The sequence below is a fragment of the Homo sapiens genome, chromosome 7 (assembly GCF_000001405.40).
Source record: "Homo sapiens chromosome 7, GRCh38.p14 Primary Assembly".
In the NCBI taxonomy this organism is placed as follows: domain Eukaryota; kingdom Metazoa; phylum Chordata; class Mammalia; order Primates; family Hominidae; genus Homo; species Homo sapiens.
In genome coordinates this window covers 152,685,048-152,712,553 of record NC_000007.14, presented here as the reverse complement: position 1 = coordinate 152,712,553, position 27,506 = coordinate 152,685,048, and the positions used below count along the sequence as shown (strand labels likewise).

General features: G+C 44.8%; 3 annotated features.

Annotated features, from left to right (window-relative positions):
* Positions 5,482-5,561: an enhancer, noted in NCBI's record as "active region_26883". NCBI's record gives its function as "activates an Ori minimal core promoter by ATAC-STARR-seq in GM12878 lymphoblastoid cells {active_cell/tissue: GM12878}" and the evidence as "EXISTENCE:reporter gene assay evidence [ECO:0000049][PMID:35858748]".
* Positions 5,854-6,030: a silencer, noted in NCBI's record as "fragment chr7:152403609-152403785 (GRCh37/hg19 assembly coordinates)". NCBI's record gives its function as "represses an EF-1alpha promoter that drives an FKBP-Casp9 reporter gene in an ReSE screen in HepG2 liver carcinoma cells {active_cell/tissue: HepG2}" and the evidence as "EXISTENCE:reporter gene assay evidence [ECO:0000049][PMID:32094911]".
* Positions 25,244-25,333: an enhancer, noted in NCBI's record as "active region_26882". NCBI's record gives its function as "activates an Ori minimal core promoter by ATAC-STARR-seq in GM12878 lymphoblastoid cells {active_cell/tissue: GM12878}" and the evidence as "EXISTENCE:reporter gene assay evidence [ECO:0000049][PMID:35858748]".

The following is a 27,506-nucleotide window of genomic DNA, read 5'->3' as shown; positions in this document are numbered from 1 at the left end:
TTCACATGCCAAAAGGAGTGAATGATACCTACACTGTCACCCACCTCAGAGGTAATGAGATTGCGGGAAAACAATTATGAACATGATTTAGAAGCCAATGATGCACTTGTTAAATGTAAGCCTTTATTACTGGCACCTATTACCATATAGAACACAAAATAAAATGCTCAATAAACAACTGAGTATTGATTGATTGTTATTCTCTAGCCAGCCAGGCTACTTGAGGAAACCCTATCAGGACACATATCCAGTACATATTATCATTATCACTATTTTTTTTTTGAGATGGAGTCTAGCTCTGCCACCCAGGCTGGAGTACAGTGGTGCGATCTCGGCTCACTGCAACCTCTGCCTCCCAGGTTCAAGCGATTCTCCTGCCTCAGCCTCCCGAGCAGCTGGGATTACAGGCGCCTGCCACCAAGACCAGCTAATTTTTGTATTTTTAGTAGAGACAGGGTTTCACCATGTTGGCCAGGATGGTCTCGATCTCTTGACCTCGTGATCTGCCCGCCTCGGCCTCCCAAAGTGCTGGGATTACAGGCGTGAGCCACCGCGCCGGACCCAGCACATATTATTTTTGAACATCTCATTGTCAACACCAATTCTCAATCTTGTCAGATTGCCAAATTGTTACAGGTGGAGAGTGTCTAGGTTCTTGGCGTTTTGAACAAAGAATTGGACGAGACGCACAAACAAAGCAAGGAAAGAATGAAGCAACAAAAGCGGAGATTTGTTGAAAATGAAAGCACACTGCACAGGGTGGGAGCGGCCGAGCAAGTGGCTCAAGGGCTTGGTTACAGAATTTCCTGGGGTTTAAATACCCTCTGGAGGTTTCCATTGGTTATTTGGTGTACGCTCTATGTAAATGAAGAGGCTAAACTGCAGTTACAAAGTTATTTACTTGGTGTATACCCTATGTAAATGAAGAGGATATTTCCTGCCATAGCTGGAGTGTTTCCATTTGATTTAGTTCTAGGAAGTCCTTAGGTTTCCTGCGCCTTAGGCCATATTCTCCTGCCTCAAAATCAACCTTAGAATGTGTTTTTACTTGAGAGTCAAACACAGCGCAGATCTATTCAACTAGGTAATAGGCCAGGCATGACTAAGTCACAGAGAAATAAGCTAGCGCCCACGGTGTGGGTAAAAGATCATTCTCACCACATGGCGGCAGGTTACTGCCCATGAAGAAGAATCAGATGGCCGGCTGCGGTGACTCACGACTGTAATCCCAGCACTTTGGGAGGCTGGGGCGGGAGGGTCACCTGAGGTCAGGAGTTCAAGATCAGCCTGGCCAACATGGCGAAACCCTGCATCTACTAAAAATACAAAAATTAGCTGTGGTGGCAGGTGCCTGTAATCTCAGTGACTAGGGAGGCTGAGGCAGGAGATTGCTTGAACCCAGGGGGCGGAGGTTGCAATGAGCCGAGATGGTGCCACTGCACTCCAGCCTAGGCGACAGAGCGAGACTCCGTCTCAAAAAAAAAAAAAAAAAAGAATGAGATGGGGGTAGCTACAGATACTGTAAAATCCAAGGATGGGACCTTACACAGCAGATGAATCATTGTCCCTTAAGGTCAGTTGGACCCTGGCTGTTACACAGACATACTCTTTCCCTATGTGCATGCTTTTGTCCTCTGATTTTACACTTTTGAGCTTTCATTTTATTTTTTTGAGACCAGGTTATGAGACTGGCTAATTTTTGTATTTTTGGTAGAGATGGAGTTTCACCATGTTGCCCAGATGTGTTGAACTTCTGGGCTCAAGCGATTCACCCACCTCAGCCTCCCAAAGTGCTGGGGATTACAGGAGTGAGTCACCACGCCTGGCTATAGTTCTGAGCTTTTAAAGTATCCCCGCCATTCAAATTCTAGCTGCTCTCAGTGGTGATGTCAAACAGCCCAGAAATTTTCTGTAAAAAGAGGAAGGTGTCCATTTAAAACTAACATCCATTAATTCTTTTAAAAAACTACTATGTTTCCCTTCAGGTTTGGAGAGTTGAGATTTGATGTCCATTAATATAAATTTTCCTCCCTCCCTCTTTCCTTCCCTTTTCTCCTCTTTCCTGCTTCTCTTTGCCCCTGTTTCCTCTATTTCCCAGATCACCAGCCCATTTTTTTTTTTATTTTAAGGTATTACTTGCTGATTTTGAGAAAGATTTCTAAGCATCTACCTCTTGCTAAATGTGGCATTCTCCACCACTCACCAGCATCTCGCTAGTCCCTGCTGTGACAGTGCCTTCCCCATTGTCTGAAAGGTGCACGGCAAGGTCAAATGAGATAATAAATGAGAAAGTGCTTTGATGAAGGGAGAAGAACAAGACAAATGTCAGGTGTTATTATTAATAATTCATGAACTGGAACACTGACTAACATTCTCTAACAGAGTAAACTGGTTCTTGGATTTTGATTTTTTTATTCCATTCAGTCTTATTAGAAGACAGCTTTTACTAAAAACTGGAACCGAAGGGGTGGCTTATTCTCAACAAGTTGTTCGCATGCAAGACACTAAACATTAAAGACTTACTATGTCCACAGAGACAATTAACCCAAGGCTAAAGCCTATTGTACGATGTCCAAAAAAAAGAAGTTAGAACAAAAGGCTTTTAAGACTCTTCTCTGCTGAAGCTTTTGGGAAGGTGCTGATTGCCATGGGGAATTAGCAGTCATTTAAGAGGAGTTGATGACATCAGGCTGAGTCACACTAGTCTGTGACACTAGTATGAGGTCATTTTAAACTAATCAAATGGGTGCTAGAGAAAGGTGCCATTTACCATTTATTACCTCAACTACCAACAAAAGGGCTGGATTTAGTTCATGGAAACCAAGAGCTTAATGAATCTGACTAAATAAGGAGGGTGGTGGTAATTGTGTCATTAAGGCCCTAATACTGAGAACCTGTCTACTTCTAAAATTGGCCCTAAGGCAACTTTTCCAAAGGTGATTCTATGGTCATTTAGAAAGCTTTCTGCTTTTTACGGTAGAGCTTTTCTTCTTGCAGTCACTGAAAAGTGGTTTCTGGGTTACTGGGAGTTTGTTCTGGGTCACTGGGAATGTTCATTATTGGTCTGCAAAAGTGTTGGTAATGCCCCTCAAACTGTCTCCCAACGGCAGATGTCTAATCAGCTAGTTCATGTGACTATATACAAAGAAGAAAACCTGAGGCTGATTCTATTGAATGGCTTCTGGAAACCAGTCTCATTTTCTTTTCTTTTCTTTTCTTTTTTTTTTTTTTTCTGAGACAGTTTTGCTCTTGTTGTCCAGGCTGGAATGCAACAGCGTGATCTCGGCTCACTGCAACCTCTGCCTCCTGGGTTCAAGTGATTCTCCTGTCTCAGCTTCCCAAGTAGCTGGGATTACAGGCGCCTGCCACTACGCCCGGCTAATATTTTGTATTTTTAGTAGAGACAGGGTTTCACCATGTTGGCCAGGCTGGTCTCGAACTCCTGACCTCAGGTGATCCGCCCACCTCGGCCTCCCAAAGTGCTGGGATTACAGGCAGTAGCTACCACGCTCGGCCCAGTCTCATTTTCTTACCATGCCATCACATCAGACGAGCACACAAGTGATTATAAGGCGAATCACTTGAGGTCAGGAATTCGAGACCAGCCTGGCCAACATGGTGAAATCCTGTCTCTACCAAAAAATACAAAAATTGGCTGGGCGCGGTGGCACACACCTGTAGTCCCAGCTACTTGGGAGGCTGAAGCAGGAGAAACGCTTGAACCAGGGAGGCGGAGGTTGCAGTGAGCCGAGATCATGCCACTGCACTCCAGCCTGGGCAACAGAGGGAGACTCTGCCTCAAAGAAAAAAAAAAGATAGTGCTGGTATAAACATGGTAACTGGAAAGGAGCCACTAAGTGATGACAAAACAAACCGTGAGGATGCACAGGCCTTGCTATCGTCACTGTGTGGTGACCCTGGCAGGTGCACTTCAACAGAGGACACGCGGCTGGGGTGCAGTGGCTCATGACTTAACCCCAGCACTTTGGGAAACCAAGTGGGGAGGATTGCTTGAGCCCAGAAGTACAAGACCAGCCTGCGTAACATAGTGAGACCCTGTCTCCACAAAAATAAAAAATTAGCCAGGCACGGTGGCGTGCACCTGTAGTCCCAGTTATCTAGGAGGCTGAGGCAAGAGGATTTCTTGAGTCCAGGAGTCAAGGCTGCAGTGAACCATCATTGCGCTATTGCATTCCAGGCTGGGTGACAGAGCCAGACCCTGTATTAAAAATAATAAAAAATAAAAAAATAAAATCAAAAGAGGACACAAACTCCTCTGGAGTTGGGAGGCAAAAGATGGGGCAGATTTCTGTTACCATTGCCAAGACTCTTTTTTCTGGGTAAGGTTTAGGGCATAGCACCAAACCAAAAACATAGACGATGGGCAGGAAATAGGCAGAAGAGAACAGAAGCAAAGGTAGCAAATTCTATTACATCCAAGACCTGCCACATAATTCACAGTTCCCTGTGCAAAATGAAGATGCATGTCCCCTGGTCAGAAAGCATTCAGAATTTCAAGATAGCAACTGAAGTCTTGAACCAAGTGTGGGACTCCTAAGCGTGGGGCCCGTTTGTATGGGTCACATACCCACAACGCCAGCGGAGGTTACGAGAGCCTGTGTCACCTATTGTGCTGTGGCACACACTGGGGAAAACAAGTATCTCATGTTCGCAAACTCAGTAGCAGAGTTCAGTAGGTTTGGCAACTTCTTAGAGTTAAAAAGAAGCTCCAAGAGAAAGAAAATCTCTTTTCTCCTATTTAAAATCCTTTAAATGTAAACTTGTGCCCTAGTGATGTGGTCCTCAGAAATGTTTCTGGGCTCACACGAAGTTTTAAACATTGAGGAAACTGAGCACCTTCATGCGGGGCATGCCTTTACCACTCCCGGGATGTCACGTCCACCTGCCAGGCTCATGAAGGCGTGTGAGTGTGTAGACCTGGTTTGAATCTGGTCACAAAAAGTCAAAAGTTCCTTGCTTGGGATCCATTTTATGATTACACTTTTTTTTTTTTTTTTGAGAGAGTTTCCCTCTTGTTGCCCAGGCTGGAGCGCAATGGCGCGATCTCGGCTCACTGCAACCTCTGCCTCCCAGGTTCAAGTGATTCTCCTTCCTCAGCCTCCCAAGTAACTGGGATTATAGGTGTCCGTCACCACACCCGGCTAATTTTTGTATTTTTAGTAGAGATGGGGTTTCGCTATGTTGGTCAGGCTGGTCTCGAACTCCTGACCTCAGGTGATCCACCCACCTCTGCCTCCAAAGTGCTGGGATTACAGGCGTGAGCCACCACGCCCCACAGTGATTAAACTTTTTAATCCATTGCTTGTGCTGGCCAGTTAATAGATATTCATATATACTGCAAAACCTCCCCTCCAACAAACCACAGCTTCACATCCAAATCCCTCAGGCAGTGTCTACCTTAGACACTAGGAGGCAGCGTTGGCTAGTTGTCTGTTTGCAAGGACACACGTCAAGGAATTTCTTTTTCTCTCTCTCCGTCCCACTTGCTGTGATCCCTTACTGTAAAAAGGTAAAGGGCCATGCTTAATTGTCTATCTCACAACCATTTAAATATATTAACTTTATGGGAGGACTGTAAAAGAAAAATGCAAAGGGACTTTTGACTGCCATGATTAATTTGGTTGCCTAAACCATTCAACCTAAACCCACTGTGTCAAATTCTAGTTTTAAGACCGGATGAAGGAGATTCTAGGGAATGACTGTATAAATACTGAATAAAAGCTCAAATTTTTTTTTCCAGTAAACTTGCAATGCAACGAAGCCCAGGGCACTAGCTTTGCCTAGAAGGGAGGGACATTTCCATTTGATTCCTATGGCCGGAGGCTTAACAGCTTTCTTTTGTTAGCAAAGCAAAGTAGAAGTGATACTGAAAGAAGCTAGTAATAGTCTAGCTTCCACTGCTATCTGCCCGAGCTTCAGCGATTCCACCCCCTCAGGGGCCACACCTCCCTGCAGGTCCCATTTCTGGGAAAAGCCGGCAATCTATGTCTTTTGGAAATACTCCCTGAGCTCCCAAAATGGGTTTGGAAAGAGCTATACATAGCTTTCTATACATTGGTCTCTATCATCTTATAGGATAATAAAGGAGATAATTCATGCACACAAATAACTATATGTAATGTTACATTTAGGGAAATACAATAATTTCACTGTCCTTGCCTTAGGATTTCCATTTAGGTAGGCAGAGATCCCTGTGGACAGGAATAATCTGGTTTCACAAAAGGGTGACACCTGGCCGGTGGCGGTGGCTCACACCTGTCATCCCAGCACTTTGGGAGACTGAGGCAGGCGGATCACCTGAGATCAGGAGTTTGAGACCAGCCTGGCCAATATGGTGAAACCCCATCTCTACTAAAAATACAAAAATTAGCCAGGCATGGTGGCAGGTGCCTGTAATCCCAGCTACTCAGGAGGCTGAGGCAGGAGAATTGCTTGAACCCGGGAGGCAGAGGTTGCAGTGAACCGAGATCATGCCACTGCACTCCAGTCTGGGAGACAAGAACGAAACTCTGCTTAAAAAACAAAAACAAAAACAAAAAACAAAAAAATACCAAGTGTGGTGGCTCACATCTGTAATCCTAGCACTTTTGGAAGCCGAGGTCAGGAGTTTGAGACCAGCCTGGCCAACATGGTGAAACCTTGTCTCTACTAAAAATACAAAATTAGCCGGGTGTGGTGGCTCACGCCTGTAGTCCCAGCTACTCGGGAGGCTGAGACTGGAGAATCGCTTGAAACCCCGAGGCAGAGGCTACAGCGAGCCAAGATTACGCCACTGCACTCCAGCCTGGGCAAGACAGAGCAAGACTCCGTCTCAAAAAAAAAAAAAAGAGTGAGGGGACAGGTGACACCTGAGAGGCTTTTCACTAAGTTCAATTGGCAGCAGGTAAATCTCTAGGAGCTGTGTCTCCAAAGATGAATTGGAGCACATTATAAAATATCTTGAATGCCAGGTTAGAAAATGTGAAGTTTCACATATGCAAATCAAAAGCTAGTTATGGTTTTTAGAAGAGAATCATCTGAGAAGTATCTTGAAAGAAGACCTGGCTGACTGTGTAAGGTAGAATAGATTGAAGGATGTACAAACAAGAAGGAACTTTACAAAAAAGTATACCAGAATTACCTCTGGAATGGGAGAGGCAAGGCTCAGGCTATTTGCATATGAATTTCAACTCTCTCTCAGGGTTGAGTGTCCATGGGCAAGCTGGTTAACCCCTCTGAGCCTGTTTCTCATCTGTAAAACAAGGTTAATAAAGGCATGAACCTCATAGAGTTGATGTGTAGATTACATAGATCATCTCTGTAAAGCACTTAGTACAGTGACTGGCATATAGTAAATGCTCACTAAATAGTTAATGATGATGATGACATTATGAGGAAACTGCAGTTCAAATACATTAAAAACTAAAAGAGGCAAATCTGGGACACAATCCCAAGTCTTCTGATTCAAATACAGTGTTTTTTACCCTTTGCTAGAAATGCAAAATGCTTATTCCTCAGTGCCACAAAGATATAGCACTCGAACATAAATTTAATTTTCTCAGCAAGGCAATTTTTACTTTCTGCAGAAAGGGTGCTTCTTGTAGATGGAACAATGGCAAGAGCACACCTGAACAGGGGAGGGGCAGGAGTTCTTATTCCTGACACAAGTAGCCCCTACTGCTGTGTCATTCCCATATTGGCTAGGGTTGGACCACACAGTCTAAGCTAATTCTGATTGGCTATTTTAAAGAGAACAGGAATACGAGCTGGAGTGGCAGGGTGAGTACTTTGGCAGGAAGGATGGTTAGGAACAGGTAACTAAAGGTGACTTAGGTTAAAGCAGGTGATCAGGGGACCGCTGTGAACTACTGGTTAGGACTGGTGGGAAAGTTGTTTACTGAAACTAGAAGGAAGGGGGCTAAGAGAACCAGGAAGTTAAACTTTAAAATGGAGAATCAAAGAATAAGAGAGCTGAACATACTGACATACTGGTTCTTTGAAGAGAAACTGGGGTTCACCATATGTAACACCCTTGCTCATGCATTTTAAGAAGTTAGGAAATTCCACCTGTCCTGAAATATCTCCTGCAATTTTGTGTCTTGATCTTTATGTCAAAGCACAAATTCTTTGATAAATACAAATCTTGAAGTAGCTACACTTGCATAACTCTGAGGAAGAAAGCCTAATTTATTGATTATTATTATTATTTTGAGATGGAGACTTGCTCTGTTGCTCAGGCTGGAGTGCAGTGGCACGATCTCGGCTCGCTACAACCTCCATCTCCCAGGTTCAAGCGATTCTCCTGACTCAGTCTCCTGAGTATCTGGGATGACAGGCACCCGCCACCATGCCTGGCTAATTTTTGTATATTTAGTAGAGACGGGATTTCACCATGTTGGCCAGGCTGGTCTTGAACTCCCGATCTCAAGTGATCCACCCACCTCGGTCTCCCAAAGTGCTGGGATTACAGGCATGAGCCACTGCACCCAGCAAATTTATTGATTATTATAGTTAGCCAGTTTCAGGTTAATGGAGAGTTTATATAGCTGGGGATTTATATTTTCTTTTCATTTAGTCCATGTATTTTCTTTTCAATTAGTAAATTTGATACTATCTATAAACATGCCATACCATAAAATGTATTGAAACTTTTTTCAATTTAGGTGTACTCTATATATTTTTTAAGTTGGCCAGGTGCAGTGGCTTGTGCTTGTAATCCTAGCACTTTGGGAGGCTGAGGCGAGTGGATCACCTGAGGTCAAGAGTTCGAGATCAGCCTGGCCAACATGGTGAAACCCCATCTCTACCAAAAATACAAAAAATTAGCCAGGTGTGGTGGTGGCGCCTGTAATCCCAGCTATTTGGGAGGCTGAGGTAGGAGAATCGCTTGAACCCGGGGGGCAGATGTTTCAGTGAGCCAAGATCACGCCACTTCACTCCAACCTGGGCAAAAGAGCAAAATTTGAAACTGTCAAAAAAAAAAAGTTATCTTGATTTTTAAAGTCTACTTTTCCAGCTGGAAAAAAAAAATCACATGAGTATCTGATTATCTTATTTACACAGGCAAAATACAGATAATTCAGATATGGAAAGTCTTCACTCTATAACCTAGTGTTATGGCATAATATATGCTATATAATAGCATAATGATGCTATAATAGCAAAAACAAACAAACAAACCTTTCACCAAAAGTAATTAACTTGTTTTATCTAACTCAAAGCAAACTTCCTATTCTGAATGTTTTTCTTTGGCAAGAAATACATATAATTATTTCAATTCCACAATGCCACAGGAGGAATTGTTAAAAAAAAAACTGGAAATATTTTGGCTGGCAATGAATCATGTGGTACAGGGATGGGAGAGAGAGGTAGACGTTAGAGGAGAAAAGCAATCGCTGTCTGGAAAATTTTGCAGAGCCGTCGCTGCATAGAAGAGCTCCACTCATTCTATGATGTTCTGGAAGCCAAAACAAAGACTAACCACTTGAAATCCACCAAGATTTTAGTTCAATTTAATTTAATTTAATTAATTTATTTATTTTTGAGACGGAGTCTCGCTCTGTTGCCCAGGCTGGAGTGCAGTGGCATGATCTCGGCTCCCAGGTTCACGCCATTCTCCTGCCTCAGCCTCCCAAGTAGCGGGGACTACAGGCACCCGCCACCACGCCCAGCTAATTTTTTTGTATTTTTAGTAGAGATGGGGTTTCACTGTGTTTGCCAGGATGGTCTCGATCTCCTGACCCCGTGATCCGCCCGCCTCGGCCTCCCAAAGTGCTGGAATTACAGACGTGAGCCACTGTGCCTGGCCAGTTCAATTTTAGGTACAACTTTCTGTCAATTTGAGTGCTCAAAATGAAATTTAATACTAGCCTGGGCAACATGATGAAACCCTCTCTCTATAAAAAAATGCAAAAATTAGCTGGGCATGGTGGCACACACCTGCAGTCCCAGCTACTCAGGAAGCTGAGATGGGAGGATCACCTGAGGCTGGGGAGCTTGAGGCTGCAGTGAGCTGAGACCACTGCACTCCAGCCTGGGTGACAGAGTGAGACCTTATCTCAAAAGAAAAAAAAATGGAATTTGATCCACAATTATGTTGTCATTTTTATTGTTGCTGTTGTTTGGGACAGGATCTCGAACTGTCACCCAGGCTGGAGGGCAGTGGTGTGATCATAGCTCACGGCAGCCTTGAACTCCTGGGCTGAAGCCATCCTCAGTCTCCTGGGTAGCTGGGACTACAGATGCGTGACACCATGCCTGGCTAATTTATTTTATTTTTTGTAGAGATGAGGTCTTGCAATGTTGCCCAGGCTGGTATGATCTCCTGGCCTCAAGTGTCCTCCCTCCTTGGCCTCCTGATGTACTGTGTTAGCCACCATGCCCAGCCTATTGTCATTTTGTATAAAAATATATGTGTGGTGCTGGTTGAAGGAAGTGTGTTTTATCATATTCCACGTGTACAAAACCCTCCTATTAAAAACACATGGAGGCTGGGCGCAGGGGCTCACGCCTGTAATCCCAGCACTTTGGGAGGCCGAGGCAGGCGGATCTCGAGGTCGGGAGATTGAGACCATCCTGGCTAACATGGTGAAACTCTGTCTCTACTAAAAAAATACAAAAAATTAGCTGGGCATGGTGGCGGGCGCCTGTAGTCCCAGCTACTCGGGAGGCTGAGGTAGGAGAATGGCGTGAACCCAGGAGGTGGAGCTTGCAGTGAGCCGAGATGGCGCCACTGCACTCCAGCCTGGGCGACAGAGCGAGACTCCATCTCAAACACACACACACACACACACACACACACACACACACACACAGAACCTGACAATGGTTGCCACAGGGAGACTGAAGAAGGGTGGGGAATGGCCCGCCCAGCACACTCTTTTGTTCTGCATGTATTTTATTTTATTTTATTTTATTTTATTTTACGTATATATATTTTTTCTTTTTTCTTTTTCTTTTTTTTGAGACAGAGTCCCACTCTGTTGCCCAGTCTGGAGTGCAGTGATGTGATCTTGGCTTACTGCAACCTCCACCTCCCAGGTTCAAGCGATTCTTCTGCCTCAGCTTCCTGAGTAGCTGGGACTACAGGCACGCACCACTAGGCCTGGCTAATTTTTGTATTTTTAGTAGAGACGGGGTTTCATCATATTGGCCAGGCTGGTCTCGAACTCCTAACCTCGTGATCTGCCCGCCTCTGCCTCCCAGAGTGATGGGATTACAGGCATGAGCCACCGCGCCTGGCCACACCCGGCTAATTTTTTTGTATTGTAGTAGAGACTGGGTTTCCCCATGTTGGCCAGGCTGGTCTGGAACTCTTGACCTCAGATGATCCACCCGCCTCGGCCTCTCAAAGTGCTGGGATTACAGGCGTGAGCCACCACGCCCGGCCTTATTTATTTATTTATTTTGAGACAGGGTCTTGCTCTGTCTACCAGACTGAAGTGTGGTGGCGCGATCTCGACTCACTGCAACCTCTGCCTCCCGGGTTCAAGTGATCCTCCTGCCTCAGCTTCCTGAGTAGTTGAGATTACAGGCACGTGCCACCAGGCCCAGCTAATTTTTTTGTATTTTTAGTAGAGAAGGGGTTTCACCATGTTGGCCAGGCTGGTCTCGAACTCCTGACCTCAATTGATCCGCCTGCCTCAGCCCCCCAAAGTGCTGGAATTACAGGCGTGAGCCACCATGCCAGGCTCTGCGTGTATTTTAATATACAATAAAACAAAAATAAAGGAATGTCCTAACAGTTTTTCTGACTTTGACAGCACTTAAACAGGGTCTTGTCAACCAGGAGGCCCAAATTTTTCTTTTTTTTTTTTTTTTGAGAGGGAGTCTTGCCCTGTCGCCCAGGCTGGAGTGCAGTGGCATGATCTCGGCTCACTGCAAGCTCTGCCTCCCAGGTTCACGCCATTCTGTTGCCTCAGCCTCCCGAGTAGCTGGGACTACAGGCGCCCACCACCATGCCCGGCTAATTTTTTTTTGTATTTTTAGTAGAGACGGGGTTTCACCGTGTTAGCCAGGATGGTCTCGATCTCCTGACCTCGTGATCCGCCCACCTCGGACTCCCAAAGTGCTGGGATTACAGGCGTGAGCCACCGCGCCCGGCCCAGGAGACGCAAATTTTTAAAAGGAATTCCTACTTTGAGTAAGGATGGGGTCCTGATGGTATCACTAAGTTCCCTATTAATTTAGAGATGCTATTCGTAGGTTATTAGGTAGAGGCAGAAGAGGCGAGAGAGGCAAGGGAAGTGAGGTTGTCTTGTTCTGCCCCGTTTCCTTCCAGAGGAGGGGAGAAAAGGGCCTTCTCCTCTCAGGAGCACAGCAATGCTGGATGAGCAGTGCTTGTTGGACCGAGGCAGGAGAGAAGGCGCGACCCTGTGTTGGTTTTTTCCTTATGCTTTTCTGCTTGTGCATTTAATCCCTTTTTCAGTTTCAAATCAGCACCATAGCAGATCTTACCAACAAACATTATCCCTGTCCTGAAGCAGTTGTCAAGCCAGGGAGAGACATAGGATCCACTCTGGGGAAATGCCACCCTGGCTTTGGCTTCTGGAGGCTGCAATTACCTGTTAGGAGAGGTATCAAATTCCACTTCCCGAGGCTGCAGTGAGCCGAGATTGCACCACTGCACTCCAGCCTGGGCGACAGAGCAAGACTCTGTCTCAAAAAAAAAGAAAAAAAAAAAAACTCCACTTCCCTCTTTGCCCACAGAAGCCAGTGTGAAATCCCCTTCCCTTGCATTCCTTTGGGCTGGTCCCATTGAGAAAGAGGCTGGCACTGGACAAGGAGATGAAAGCAGACTGCCCCAGCTACAGTGTCTCACCAAGCTCCTTCCAGCTGCTGTGGCCCTGTCCAGGTCTGCTGACCTCTGGTGATGGCCAATGCCATCTTGCCTCCTTAGCTCATGCCCACTTTGGCTGAGTTACTGTGGCCCAGGCTTAGAATGCTGTGTTTTGTTTTGATGCCTAACTCTTCACAGTCCTTTTTATAAGGTCACCTGTCTTGCTTGAATCTTCAACTTGGTGCTGCTGACACCCCTGATGTGACATATGCTGTGCACAACTCCAGGTCACAGAGGGAGTAAAAAACAAGTTCTTTCCTACCTGATGAAATACCTGATTACTTTATGCTTTGCATAAAGAGACATTTGCCTCAGGGAACAAATAAGACATAAATACTGAAAATGGGATTGCCCTTTAAAAAGGAGGATGTCTGCTCAGTCTAATTTGGGGAATATCTCTTTTATCTCCATTGTTCAGGCTGAATACACAGTTTGTGAATTAACCTGATCTTTTCCTTTATCTTGCTTGGCCATCTGCCTTGCTTCTCAGTTATTTAGAAAGTACTTTAATAGCATCTTCACCAATGACTAAAGAAACAGAAAGTGACATTAAAAAAAAAAAGGCAACCCTGTATTTTGTTTATTTACTATTAGCTTGTTTGGTAAGAATAAAATTTTCATAAGGATTGAGCTTGATATCTCTGAAAATGGCAGACTAGATAATGAGGAACCACCCTTCCACTGAAAACAACTGCAAGGCAGCAGAAAATCTAAGAATAATTTGCTTTAAGGCATTGGGGGAGCTCACAACACAATAAAGAATTAAAGAGTTACAGGACTGAGATCCACAGAAGTAAATCCAAGAAGATGAGCCCAGCTTTAGGGCTACTGTTCTCCCAGGGCGTTTAATGAGGTCTCGAAAGATTGAGAAGCTGAGCAGATGTTTCAACAGCCTGGTGAGGAGGACCTACAAATGAGAGGAAATCTTGGGGGAAAAAAATCATGCTTTGGGTTGGGAAACTCAAGGGCTAGACCCTAGGAATAAGGGTGAACTAAAGCCCAGCTTCCAACCATCTCAAGGCCTATATTAGATTAACACTGGAATTACCAGTGTCCCCAGGCTCCTGACAAAAGCATATGTAGATCTTCCCTAGCAAAAGGTAACATCAGAGTAGACTCAAATTATTTCTTCAATAATTAAGGCAATTATTACTTCTACTTATTTGACTCCTCATGAGCCTATTTATTTTTTATTTTTACATTTTTACAGAATGTCTTGCACACAATGAAAAGTAAATAGGAAGGCCAGGCGCCTGTAATCGCAGCACTTTGGGAAGCTGAGACCGGTGGATCACTTGAGGTCAGGACACCTGTAGTCCCAGCTACTCGGGGGACTGAGGCACGAGAGTCACTTGAACCTGGGAGGCGGAGGTTGCAGTGAGCCAAGATCGCTCCATTGCACTCCAGCTTAGGCGACAAAGTGAGACTCTGTCTCAAAAATAAATAAATAAATAGGTTCATGAGGAGTAAAGTAAGTAGAAATAATAATTGTCTTAAGTATTGAAGAAATAACTTGAGTCTACTATTGTGTCCGGAATTGGTGGGTTCTTGGTCTCACTGACTTCAAGAATGAAGCCGTGAACCCTCACGGTGAGTGTTAACAGCTTTTAAGGCAGCTTGTCTGGAGTTGTTCGTTCCTCCTGGTGGGTTCGTGGTCTCGCTGTCTTCAGGAGTGAAGCTGCAGACCTTCGCGGTGAGTGTTACAGCTCATAAAGGCAGTGTGGACCCAAAGAGTGAGCAGCAGCAGGATTTATTGCAAAGAGCGAAAGAACAAAGCTTCCACAGTGTGGAAGGGGACCCGAGCGGGTTGCTACTGCTGGCTCGGGCAGCCTGCTTTTATTCTCTTATCTGGCCCCACCCACATCCTGCTGATTGGTAGAGCCAAGTGGTCTGTTTTGACAGGGCGCTGATTGGTGCCTTTACAATCCCTGAGCTAGACACAAATGTTCTCCACGTCCCCACCAGATTAGCTAGATACAGAGTGTCGACTGGTGCATTCACAAACCCTGAGCTAGACAGAGGGTGCTGATTGGTGTGTTTACAAACCTTGAGCTAGATACAGAGTGCCGATTGACGTATTTACAATCCCTGAGCTAGACATAAAGGTTCTCCACGTCCCCACCAGACTCAGGATCCCAGCTGGCTTCACCCAGTGGATCCTGCACTGGGGCTGGCAGGCAGCTCCACTATGATGTTATCTTTTTTTTTTTTTTTTTTTTTTTTGAGGTGGAGTCTCACACTATTGCCTGGGCTGGAGTGCAATTGCGCCATCTTGGCTAACTGCAACCTCTGCCTCCTGGGTTCAAGTGTTTCTCCTGCCTCAGCCTCCCAGGTAGCTGGGATTACAGGTACACACCACCACACCAGGCTAATTTTTTGTCTCTCTACTAGAGACAAAATTTTTGTCGTCTCTCTACTAGAGATGGAGTTTCACTATGTTGGCCAGCATGGTCTCAAACTCCTGACCTCGTGATCCACCCACCTTGGCCTCCCAAAGTGCTGGGATTACAGGCGTGAGCCACAGCACCCGGCCATGATGTTATCTTTTGCTAGAGAAGATCTACATATGGTTTTCGCAGGAGCCTGGGGACACTGGCAAGTCCAGTGTTAATTTAACATAGGCCTTGAGATGGTTGGAAGATGGGCTCTAGTTCATTCTTATTCCATTCAATATTCAACACATTCATTCTTTATTGTTTTTGAGACCGAGTTTCAGTCTTGTTGCCTAAGGCTAGTGTCCAATGGCACGATCTCAGCTCACTGCAACTTCCGCCTCCCTGGTTCAAGCGATTCTCCTGCCTCAGCGTCCCCAGTAGCTGGAACTACAGGAACACACCACCATACCCGGCTAATTTTTGTATTTTTAGTAGAGACTGGGTTTTTTGTTTTTTTGTTTTTTGTTTTTTTTTGAGACAGAATTTCACTTTGTTGCCCAGGCTGGAGTTGCAGTGAGCCGAGATCGTGCCATTGCACTCCAGCCTGGGCGACAAGAGCAAAACTTCGTATCAAAAAAAAAAAAAAAATTTCTTCATATTTGAGTTCATGTCCCATATACTTTGTAAAACCAGGTTATTTGCTGTTTTTGCTTTGCTATTGAATTGTAGGAGTTCTTTATATATTTAGAAATCAACCCTAATCCAGTGTTCACTGTAGCATTATTCAGAATAGCAATGCTATGGAAGCAACCTAAATGTCCATGGATGGATGAGTGGATAAAGCAAGGGTGGTATATACATACAATGCAATATCGTGGAGCCTTAAAACAAAAGGAAATCCTGCAATATGCAAGGACATGGACAAAACTGGAGAACATTATGCTAAGTGAATTAAGCTAGTCACAGAAGGACAAATACTGCATGACTACATGCATATGAGACATCTAAAATAGTCAAACTCAAAGAATCAGAGAGTAGAATGATGGCTGCCAAGAGCTGGCGGAGGGGGAATGGGGAGCAGCTAATTAACAGGCATAAAGTTTTGATGATGGGGGCTGAGTGAGTTCTGGAGATCTGCTGTGCAACATTGTCCCTATAGTTAACAGTACCCTATCCAGTACCCTATCCACTTAGAATGTATTAGGAGCGTAGCTCTCATGTTAAGTGATCTTATATTAAAATAAAGTTTTTAAAATTTTACTTTTTCTTCAATTCATTTTGAAGTTTCTGCTTTTTTTTTTTTTTTTTTTTTTGGAAATGGGGTCTTGCTCCTGTGGCCCAGGCTGGAGTGCAGTGGCATGATCTGTGTTCACTGCAACCTCTGCCTCCTGGGTTCAAGTAATTCTCCTTCCTCAGCCTCCCCAGTAGCTGGGATTACAGGCACATGCCACCACCCCTGGCTAATTTTTGTACTTTCAGTAGAGATGGGGTTCCACCATGTTGGCCAGGCTGGTCTCAAACTCCTGTCCTCAAGTGATCCGCCCCCCTCAGCCTCCCAAAGTGCTGAGATTACAGGCATGAACCACTGTACCTGGTCTGAAGTTTCTGCTTTCAACACAATTTTGTGAAATTAGAAGGGAAGATTCTGCTCTCAAAGAGGTTATAGTCTTTTTTTTTTGCCCACTGCAACCTCTGCCTCCCGGGTTCAAATGATTCTCCTGCCTCAGCCTCCTGAGTAGCTGAGATTACAGGCGCCCACCACCACGCCCGGCTAATTTTTTGTATCTTTAGTAGAGACGGGTTTCACCGTGTTGGCCAGGCTGGCCTCGAACCTCTGACCTCGTGATCCGCCTGCCACGGCCTCCCAAAGTGCTGGGATTAGAGGCATGATCCACCACGCCTGACCTGAGGTTATAGTCTTATCAGAGAGACATTTAGGGATTTTTTTTTTTTTTTCAGATAGAGTCTCACTCTGTCTCCCAGGCTGGAGTGCCAAGGTGCGATCTCGGCTCACTGCAACCTCTGCCTTCTGGGTCCAAGCAATTCTCCTGCTTCAGTCTCTCGAGTAGCTGGGAATACAGGCACCTGCCACTACACCCAGCTAATTTTTGTATTTTTAGTAGAGACGGGGTTTTACCATGTTAGTCAGGCTGGTCTCAAACTCCTGACCTCAGGTGATCAGCCTGCCTCGGCCTCCCAAAGTGCTGGGATTACAGGCGTGAGCCACCGCACCCGACCCATTTAAGGAATTTTTAAAAATACAGCAAGGTAGACTGACTGTTGAAGTTGCAGTGAAACTGACAACTGCTATTCCTCCGGTTGCATTTGCCATTTCATCGTTCTAATCTATACTGTCACTCCATTTCCCAATTTCCAATTGACACCCTTTGGATGTACATTTTGGGTTGATGCCTGAGGACATTTAAAAATAGTTTAGTGCTGAGCATAAGCTAAATATATTCCCATAATTCCTATGCTAATCAATTATTTATCCCTTACAAATGCGAAGATCAAAAATGAAAAAAAGTTATATATTTCAGTTTGACAGGAGGTCTTGGGAGACTAGCAAGAATAAAAAATACTTTCAAGTCTAAAGTGAGTAAAATGGGTAAAAATGAGCTTCCCAACTCAGTTATACTTTAAACAAGGCAAAGAATACTCTTTTGCCACCAGTAATTAAAATTAAATGTATAAATTATGAGAAATTTATAATTTATATGAAATGTTTTAGTCCTTTAACGAGAGAATCATTGGGATTCTGTACTATAACTGGTAAATATATTGTGATATCTGCCACACTGTACCCTTCATTTTTGCTTTAATACAAAAGGTGATAAAATGCACTAAATTACCACTTTAAATAGAATCTTTTTATCCTTAAATGTTTCATTTGTGCATATATATATATGTGTATATATATATATATATATATATATATATATTTTTTTTTTTTTTTTTTTTTTTTTGAGACAGGGTCTCGCTCTGTCACCCAGGCAGAAGTGCAGTGGTGCGATCTTGGCTCACCGCACCCTCTGCCTCCTGGGTTCAAGCGATTCTCATACCTCAGGCTCTCAAGTAGCTGGGACTACAAGCGCACGCCACCACGCCCGGCTAATTTTTTTTTGTATTTTTGGTAGAGACGGGGTTTCACCATGTTGGCCAGGCTGGTCTCCAACTCCTGAGTTCAAGTGATCCGCCCGCCTTGACTTCCCAAAGTGCTGGGATTGCAGGCATAAACCACCATGCCCGGCATAATTCTATAATTTTACTTTTACAAAAAAAAGTGGAGACAATCGTGCAGAGTTGCCATATACCCAGCATCCAGTTTCACCCATGAATGGCATCTTACATTGGTATGGTATATTTGTTACATTTAAAAATATTAAGCTGGGCACAGAGGTTCACACCTGTAATCTCAGCACTTTGGGAGGCCGAGGCTGGCGGATCGTCTGAGGTCGGGAGTTCGAGAGCAGTCCGACCAACACGGAGAAACCCTGTCTCTACTAAAAATACAAAATTAGCCGGGTGTGGTGGCGCATGCCTGTAATCCCAGCTACTCAGGAGGCTGAGGCAGGAGAATCGCTTGAACCCGGGAGGCGGAGTTTGCAGTGAGCCGAGATCCCGCCATTGCACTCCAGCCTGAGCAACAAGAGCAAAACTCCGTCTCACAAAAAAAAAAAAAAAAAAAGAAAAGAAAGAAAGAAATACTCCAGGCTGGGCGTGGTGGCTCATGCCTATAATTCTAGTGTTTTGGAAGACCAAAGCAGATGGATTGCTTGAGTCCAGGAGTTAGAGAACAGCCTGGGCAACATGGTGAAGCCCCATCTCTACTAAAAAAATACAAAAATTAGCAGTCATGGTGGTGCACTCCTGTAGTCCCAACTACTCAAGGGGGTGAGGCAGGAGGATTCACTGAGCCCGGGAGTTCGAGGCTGCAGTGAGCAGAGATTGCACCACTGCATTTCAGCCTGGGTGATGGAGCAAGATCCTGTCTCCAAAAAAAAAAAAAAGCTTCAGACTCATTTTGTATATTTCTGCCCCAGTTCTAGAATAAACCATTTCTCTGAGGAGCCCTGATTCCTTTTGTAGGAAAATGGTATTAGAAATCATGGTCTTAGCCCGGGCGCTGGGGCTCAGGCCTGGAATCTCAGCACTTTGGGAGGCCAAGGTGGGTGGATCACCTGAGGTCAGGAGTTCGAGACCAGCCTGACCAATATGATGAAACCCCATCTCTACTAGAAATACAAAAATTAGCCAGGCGTGGTGGCATGTGCCTGTAATCCCAGCTACTTGGGAGGCTGAGACAGAAGAATCGCTTGAACCCAGGAGGCAGAGGTTGTGGTGAGCCGAGATCGTGCCACTGTACTCCAGCCTGGGAAACAAGAGTGCAACTCTGTCTCAAAAAAAAAAAAAAGAAAAGAAAAAAGAAAAGAAAGCATGGTCTGGATGCTGTTGTATTCTAATAATTCTAATAGTATCAGAAATCATGGTCTGGATGCTGTTGTACTCTAATAATTCTAATAGTATCAGAAATCATGGTCTGGATGCTGTTGTATTCTAACAGTATCAGAAACCATGGTCTGGATGCTGTTGTATTCTAATAGTATCAGAAACCATGGTCTGGATGCTGTTGTATTCTAATAGTATCAGAAACCATGGTCTGGATGTGCTCACTACTACCGTGATATCATTTCTCCTAAGACCTCTCAGATGACAGAGCACATAAATATGCGTGAGTATAGTAACCCTCCCCATATCTATAAATATTTATATATGTTACTACGTGTATCTATATTAAGCAAAATATGAGTTCTTACTAATCCATCTAACTCTATTCCATTACCATATTGATTGTTCTAGCCTACTTCCCTTGCTTACCTGTAAATTCCTACCCCAACAGTGAGACACCTTGCTCCCATCATTCTCTATCTATCTATCTATCTATCTATCTATCTATCTATCTATCTATCATCTATCTATCTATTTATTTTTATCTTTTGAGATGGAGTCTCTCTCTGTTGCCCAGGCTGGAGTGCAGAGGCATGAACTGGGCTCACTGCAACCTCCACCTCCCAGGTTCAAGCAATTCTCCTGACTCAGCCTCCCGAGTAGCTGGGATTACAGGTGTGTGCCACCACCCCTGGCTAATTTTTATATTTTTAGTAGAGATGGGTTTTTACCATGTTGGCCAGGCTAGTCTTGAACTCCTGACCTCAAGTGATCTGCCCATCTCGGCCTCCCAAAGTGCTGAGATTACAGGCATGAGCCACCAGGCCTGGCCTTTACAGAACAATATTCCGTCCATACCTTTTTCATACCTATATATAGATTTACATCTGCTATGAGAGCTATGTACTATTTTGTTCCATGGAATCACCATAATTTATTAAGGTAAGCATTTATTTACAGACATTTGCATTATTTTACTTTTTCTAGTGCAAGGATACAGTACACATCTTTGCAAATATTTGTTTATGTATGTGTGCTATTATTTCTTCATTTTATTTGATTTTTTCTTGTATAGATGGAGTCTCACTATGTTGCCCAGGCTGGTCTTGAACTCCTGGGCTCAAGCAATCTTCCCACTCAAGCCTCCAAAGCGCTGGGATTACAGGCATGAGCCACTGCACCTGGCCAGTGTGCTAGTATTTCTGATAGATGGATACTTAGAGGGTCATTGAGGAGTCTAAGGATATTGGCTGTAGTCTTTTAAGCCTTCTAGAAATAAAGATTTTGAAATAGTGAATCTGTTTTGTTAGTCTTATTTGTCCATCTTATTCACAAATTATTAAATGTTTGGTTTAATAAAAATATATCACGTCTATGACAATTGCATGATATAAGGACTTACTCATTTTTAGAAACTTATCTTTCTTTGACCCTATTCTCTTTTAAATTATCTATCCACACAGTTTCAGCTCTATTTTTTTCCTTCTCTGAAATTCTACTATTCTTAGGTCTAGGACATACCCGACTGGACCCCATGCTTCCTCTAAGATTACAAGCTTACTTTCCACTGCCCTTTCCACTCAGAATTAAGTTGTTGCAGAATTTAAGTTTTTTTTTTAAGATGGAATCTTGCTCTGTCGCCCAGGCTGGAGTTCATTGGCATGACCTCGGTTCACTGCAAACTCCACCTCCTGAGTTCAAGTGATTCTCCTGCCTCAGCCTCCCCAGTAGCTGGGATTACAGTCACATGCCACCACCCCTGGCTAATTTTTTGTATTTTTAGTAGAGACGGGGTTTCACCATGTTGGCCAGGCTGGTCTCGAACTCCTGGCCTCAAGTGATCCCCCTGCCTCAGCCTCCCAAAGTGCTGGGATTACAGGCATGAGTCACCCAGCCCAGCCGAGAATTAAGTTTTATATAACAATTCCTCTCATTTAACATCCTTTTGAACAGTTTTTAAATTTTGTTACATCCAAGTAAAGTTTGTATCGGATGCTCTGCTTCCAACAGAATGAGATATCCACCAATGAGCAGACGGCTTAACCCCTTGTGTGCTCCCATGCTGGCTTTGCCTCTCATTTTCCCCATGGGCCTGGCAGTCTCTGGCAGGGTCTCCCTATAATCACCTCCCTTCCCCATTTCTGCTTTCCTAGGCTTCCCACCGTCTTCTCCACCAGGATGTGTGTTCCCATAATAGGTGCACAGGTTTTTTTGTTGTTGTTTATTTTTTATTTTTTAAATTGTTTTTATTTTATTTTCATAAGTTTTGGGGGAACAGGTGGTATTTGGTTACATGAGTAAATTCTTTAGTGGTGATTTGTGAGATTTTGGTGTACACATCACCTGAGCAAGTACACACTGAACCACCCAATTTATAGCCTTTTTTTTTTTTTTTTTTTTTTTTTTTTTTTTTGAGACGGAGTCTCGCTCTGTCGCCCAGGCCGGACTGCGGACTGCAGTGGCGCAATCTCGGCTCACTGCAACCTCCACCTCCTGGGTTCAAGCAATTCTCCCACTTCAGCTTTTCGAGTAGCTGGGATTACAGGCATAGGCCACCACACCCGGCTAATTTTTCTATTTTTAGAAGAACCGGGGTTTCACAATGTTGGCCAGGCTGGTCTTGAACTCCTGACCTCAAGTGATCTGCCCACCTCAGCCTCACAAAGTGCTGGGATTACAGATATGAGCCACTGTCCCCAGCCTTAACCAGTGGTTGTAAAAGTATGATCTAAAGACCCCTGGAACCTGGGAGGTGGAGTTTGCAGTGAACCCAGATCTTGCCACTGCACTCCAGCCTGGACAACAGAGCCAGACTTCGTTTCAAAAAATAGTTTAAAAAAAAAATGACCCCTGGAGACTTTTCAGGATGACTTTCACGGGGTTCACAAGATCAAAACTATGTTCGTAAAAATACTGAGAGGTCATTTTCTTTTTCTGTTGCGTCGGCATTCACATTATGTTGGTACCATGACAGATTGAGTTCAGAAGCTGACATGAGCTTGCAGCTAACCATTCACATAAGCCAGCCATTAAAGAGATTTGCAAAAATGAAAAGCAATGCTACTCTTCCCAATATTTTATTACAGAAAATAAAGTTTTTAATAAAGTAAGTTTTTTATGTGCACATGTAATTGGTTGAATAAATAAAGAAAATTGTCATTTCTCCATTTTATTTGTAGTATGGTAAATATCAGTTGATATAACCTTCATGAACAAAAACTTTGTTGGGGTCCTTAATATATATATTTTTTGAGATGGAATCTTGCTCCGTTGCCTAGGCTGGAGTGCAATGAACTCACTGCAACTTCAGCCTCCTGGGTTCAAGGGATTCTCCTACCTCAGCCTCCTGAGTAGCTGGGATTATAGGCATGCTCCACTGAGCCTGGCTAATTTTGTATTTTTTAGTAGAGACAGGGTTTCACCATGTTGGTCAGGCTGGTCTCGAACTCTGACCTCAGGTGATCCACCTGCCTCGGCCTCCCAAAGTGTTGGGATTACAGGCGTGAGCCACTGCGCCCGGCAATAATTTTTTTATTTCTTTTTTTTTTTTAAGACGTAGTTTTGCTCTTGTTGCCCAGGCTGGAGTGCAATGGTGCGATCTCAGCTCACGGCAACCTCCGCCTCCCGGTGAGAGACAGGACTAGCTGGATTTCCTAGACCAACTAAGAATCCCTAAGCCTAGCTGGGAAGGTGACTGCATCCACCTTTAAACACGGGGCTTGCAACTTAGCTCACACCCGACCAATCAGGTAGTAAAGAGAGCTCACTAAAATGCTAATTAGGCAAAAGCAGGAGGTAAAGAAATAGCCAAACATCTATTGCCTGAGAGCACAGCGGGAGGGACAATGATCGGGAAATAAACCCAGGCATTCGAGCCGGCAATGGCTACCCTCTTTGGGTCCCCTCCCTTTGTATGGGAGCTCTGTTTTCACTCTATTAAATCTTGCAACTGCCCACTTTTCTGGTCCGTGTTTGTTATGGCTCAAGCTGAGCTTTTGCTTGCCGTCCACCACTGCTGTTTGCCGCCGTCGCAGACCCGCCACTGACTTCCATCCCTCCGGATCCGGCAGGGTGTCCGCTGCCCTTCTGATCCAGTGAGGCGCCCATTGCTGCTCCTGATTGGGCTAGAGGCTCGCAATTATTCCTGCGTGGCTAAGTGCCCGGCTTTGTCCTAATCGGGCTGAACACTAGTCGTTGGGTTCCATGGTTCTCTTCCGTGACCCGCGGCTTCTAATAGAGCTATAACACTCACCACATGGGCCAAGATTCCATTCCTTGGAATCAGTGAGGCCAAGAACACCAGGTCAGAGAACATGAGGCTTGCCACCATCTTGGAAGCGGCCCGCCACCATCTTGGAAGCAGCCCGCCACCATCATGGGAGCTCTGGGAGCAAGGACCCCCGGTAACACTGGGTTCAAGCGATTTTCCTGCCTTAGCCTCCCAAGTATCTGGGATTACAGGCATGCGCCACAACGCCCGGCTAATTTTGTATTTTTAGTAGAGATGGGGTTTCTCCATGTTGGTCAGACTGGTCTCGAACTCCCGATCTCAGGTGATCTGCCCACCTTGGCCTCCCAAAGTGCTGGATTACAGGTGCAAGCCACCACGCCCAGCCAACAATAATTTTTAAGAGTACAGAGTTACTGGCCCAAAAAGTTTGAGAACTGCTACACTAAAATAGTTATTCAAATCCAGTCTGGATAGTTTTTTGTTGTTGTTATTTTGATTTTTTTGTTGTTTTTTTTTGTTTTTTGAGGCGGAGTCTCGCTCTGTCGCCCAGGTGGAAGTGCATTGGCACGATCTCAGCTCACTGCAACCTCTGCTTCCTGGGTTCAAGCGATTCTCCTGCCTCAGCCTCCCGAGTAACAGGGACTACACGCATGTGCCACCACGCCCAACTAATTTTTGCATTTTTAGTAGAGATGGGGTTTCACCATGTTGGCCAGGCTGGTCTCGAACTCCTGACCTCAAGTGATCCACCTGCTTCGGCCTCCCAAAGTGCTAGGATTACAGGCGTGAGCCACTGCTGCAATTTTTTTTTTTTTTTTTTGAGGCGGAGTCTCGCACTGTCTCCGGGGCTGGAGTGCAATGGCGCGATCTTGGCTCACTGCAACCTCCACCTCCTGGGTTCAAGTGATTCTCCTTCCTCAGCCTCCAGAGTAGCTGGGATTACAGGTGCCCATCTCTACGCCCAGCTAACTTTTTGTATTTTTAGTAGAGATGGGGTTTCACTATGTTGGTCAGGCTGGTCTTGAACTCCTGACCTTGTGATCTGCCGACCTTGGCCTCCCAGAGTGCTGGGATTACAGGCGTAAGCCACCGTGCCCGGTCCCCGGCAATAATTTTTAAGAGTACAGAGTTGTTGGCCCCAAAAGTTTGAGAACTGCTACACTAAAATAGTGATTCAAATCCAGTCTGGATAGTTTTTTATTGTTGTTGTTTTGTTTTTGAGAGGGAGTCTTGTTCTGTCACCCAGCCTGGAGTGCAGTGGCACGATCTCAGCTCACTGCAACCTCCATCTGCCAGCTTCAAGTGATTATTGTGCCGCAGCCTCCCGAGTGTTGGGACTACAGGTGCGCGCCATCACGCCTGGCTAATTTGTGTATTTTTAGAGACGGGGTTTCACCATGTTGGCCACGCTGGTCTCGAGCTCCTGACTTCAAGTGATCTGCCTGCCTTGGCCTCCCAAAGTGCTGGGATTACAGGCATGAGCCACTGCGCCCGGCCTGTCTGGATAGTTTTGTTACATCTTCCTCTGAAATGTTTTTTACCTCACAAAGATAAGAAAATTCTCTTAATTCCATCCCTACGTATATAATAGGTTTTTATGCTAAGGACTGTTAATATATATATTTACATATATATATATATACATATATGTAAATATAAATAAAAAGAGAAAGAGAATAGGAAGTCCTATACCATAGAACCCAAAAGACACATACATATGACCAAAAAAGCTGTCTCTAAGAAGTAAAATTTTATTCTGATATGACTGATGTGTGCATAGTTGTGTTTAAAAAAATTTAAAAAGGCCGGGCGCAGTGGCTCATGTCTGTAACCCCAGCACTTTGGGAGGCTGAGGCGGGGGGATCACAAGGTCAGGAGATTGAGACCGTCCTGGCTAACATGGTGAAACCCTGTCTCTACTAAAATACAAAAAATTAGCCAGGCGTGGTGCTGGGTGCCTGTAGTCCCAGCTACTTGGGAGACTGAGGCAGGAAAATGGCGTGAACCTGGGAGGCAGAGCTTGCAGTAAGCCGAGATTGTGCCACTGAACTCCAGCCTGGGCGACAGAGCGAGACTCTGTCTCAAAAAAATAATAATTAAAAAAAAAATTTTTTTTTGGCCAGGTGTAGTGGCTCATGCCTATAATCCCAGCATTTTGGGAGGCCAAGGCGGGTGGATCACCTGAGGTCAGGAGTTTGAGACCAGCCTGACCAACATGGCAAAACCCTATCTCTACTAAAAATACAAAATTAGCCGGGCATGCTGGTGCATGCCTGTAATCCCAGCTACTCGGGAGGCTAAGGCAGGAAAATCACTTGAGCCCAGGAGGTGGAGGTTGCAGTGAGCTGAGATCGGGCCATTGCACTCCAGCCTGGGCAACAAGAGTGAAACTCCATCTCAAAAAAAAGAAGAAAAAAAACGAAGTTTAAAAACAATTTTTTAAAAAGGGGAATGTCATTGTAGCCCATTTCAAAACCTCATAGCTTTTTTTTTCTTTTATTTCTTTCTTTATTTTATTTTATTATTATTATTTTTTTGAGACAGAGTCTCACTCTATTGCCCATGGCATGAGCATGGTGTATTGCAGCCTTCAACTTCTGGGCTCAGGTGATCCTCATGCCTCAGCCTCCCTAGTAGCTGGGGCTACAGGCATGAGCCACCATGCCTGGCAAATTTTCTTCCTCTTATTATTATTATTTTTTTGTACAGACAGGGTCTTGCTATGTTGCTCAGGCTGGTCTCAAACTCCTGGGCTCAAGCTCTCCTCTCGCCTCAGCCTCCCAAAGTGCTGGGATTACAGGTGTGAGCAGCTGTTCCTGGCCTCATAGCCTTTTTTTATGCAGCTTTACTGAGATATGATTCACATCCTATATAACTGACCTACTTAAAATGTATAATTAGGCTGGGCATGGTGGCTCACACCTGCAATCCCAGCACTTTGGGAGGCCAAGGCAGGTGGATCATTTGAGGTCAGCAGTTTGAGACCAGCCTGGCCAACATGGTGAAACCCCATCTCTACTAAAAATACAAAAATTAGCTGGGCATGGTGGTGCACACCTGCAGTCCCAGCTACTTGGGAAGGTGATGCAGGAGAATCACTCGAACCTGGGAGGTGGAAGTTGCAGTGAGATGAGATCGTGCCACTGGACTCCAGCCTGGGCAGCATAGTGAGACTCCCTCTCAAAAAAAAAAAGTATAATTAGGAATCTCTGAACACACTCCGGCTCAGGAGGCTGCCCATTTAAAATAATACATAAATAAAGTGTATAATTATACTTTCGTCTGGACTTTTAGTCCATTCACAGAGTAGTGAATCAATCACCACAATCACAACCAGTTTTAAAACATTTTTGGGCCGGGCACGATGGCTCACACCTGTAATCCCAGCACTTTGGGAAGCCGAGGTGGTTGGATCATTTGAGGTCAGGAGTTCAAGACCAGCCTGGCCAACATGGTGAAACCCCATCTCTACTAAAAATACAAAAATTAGGCCGGGTGCGGTGGCTCACGCCTGCAATCCCAGCACTTTGGGAGGCCGAGGCGGGCAGTTCACAAGGTCAGCAGTTCAAGACCAACCTGGCCAACATGGTGAAACCCGGTCCCTCTTTTTTTT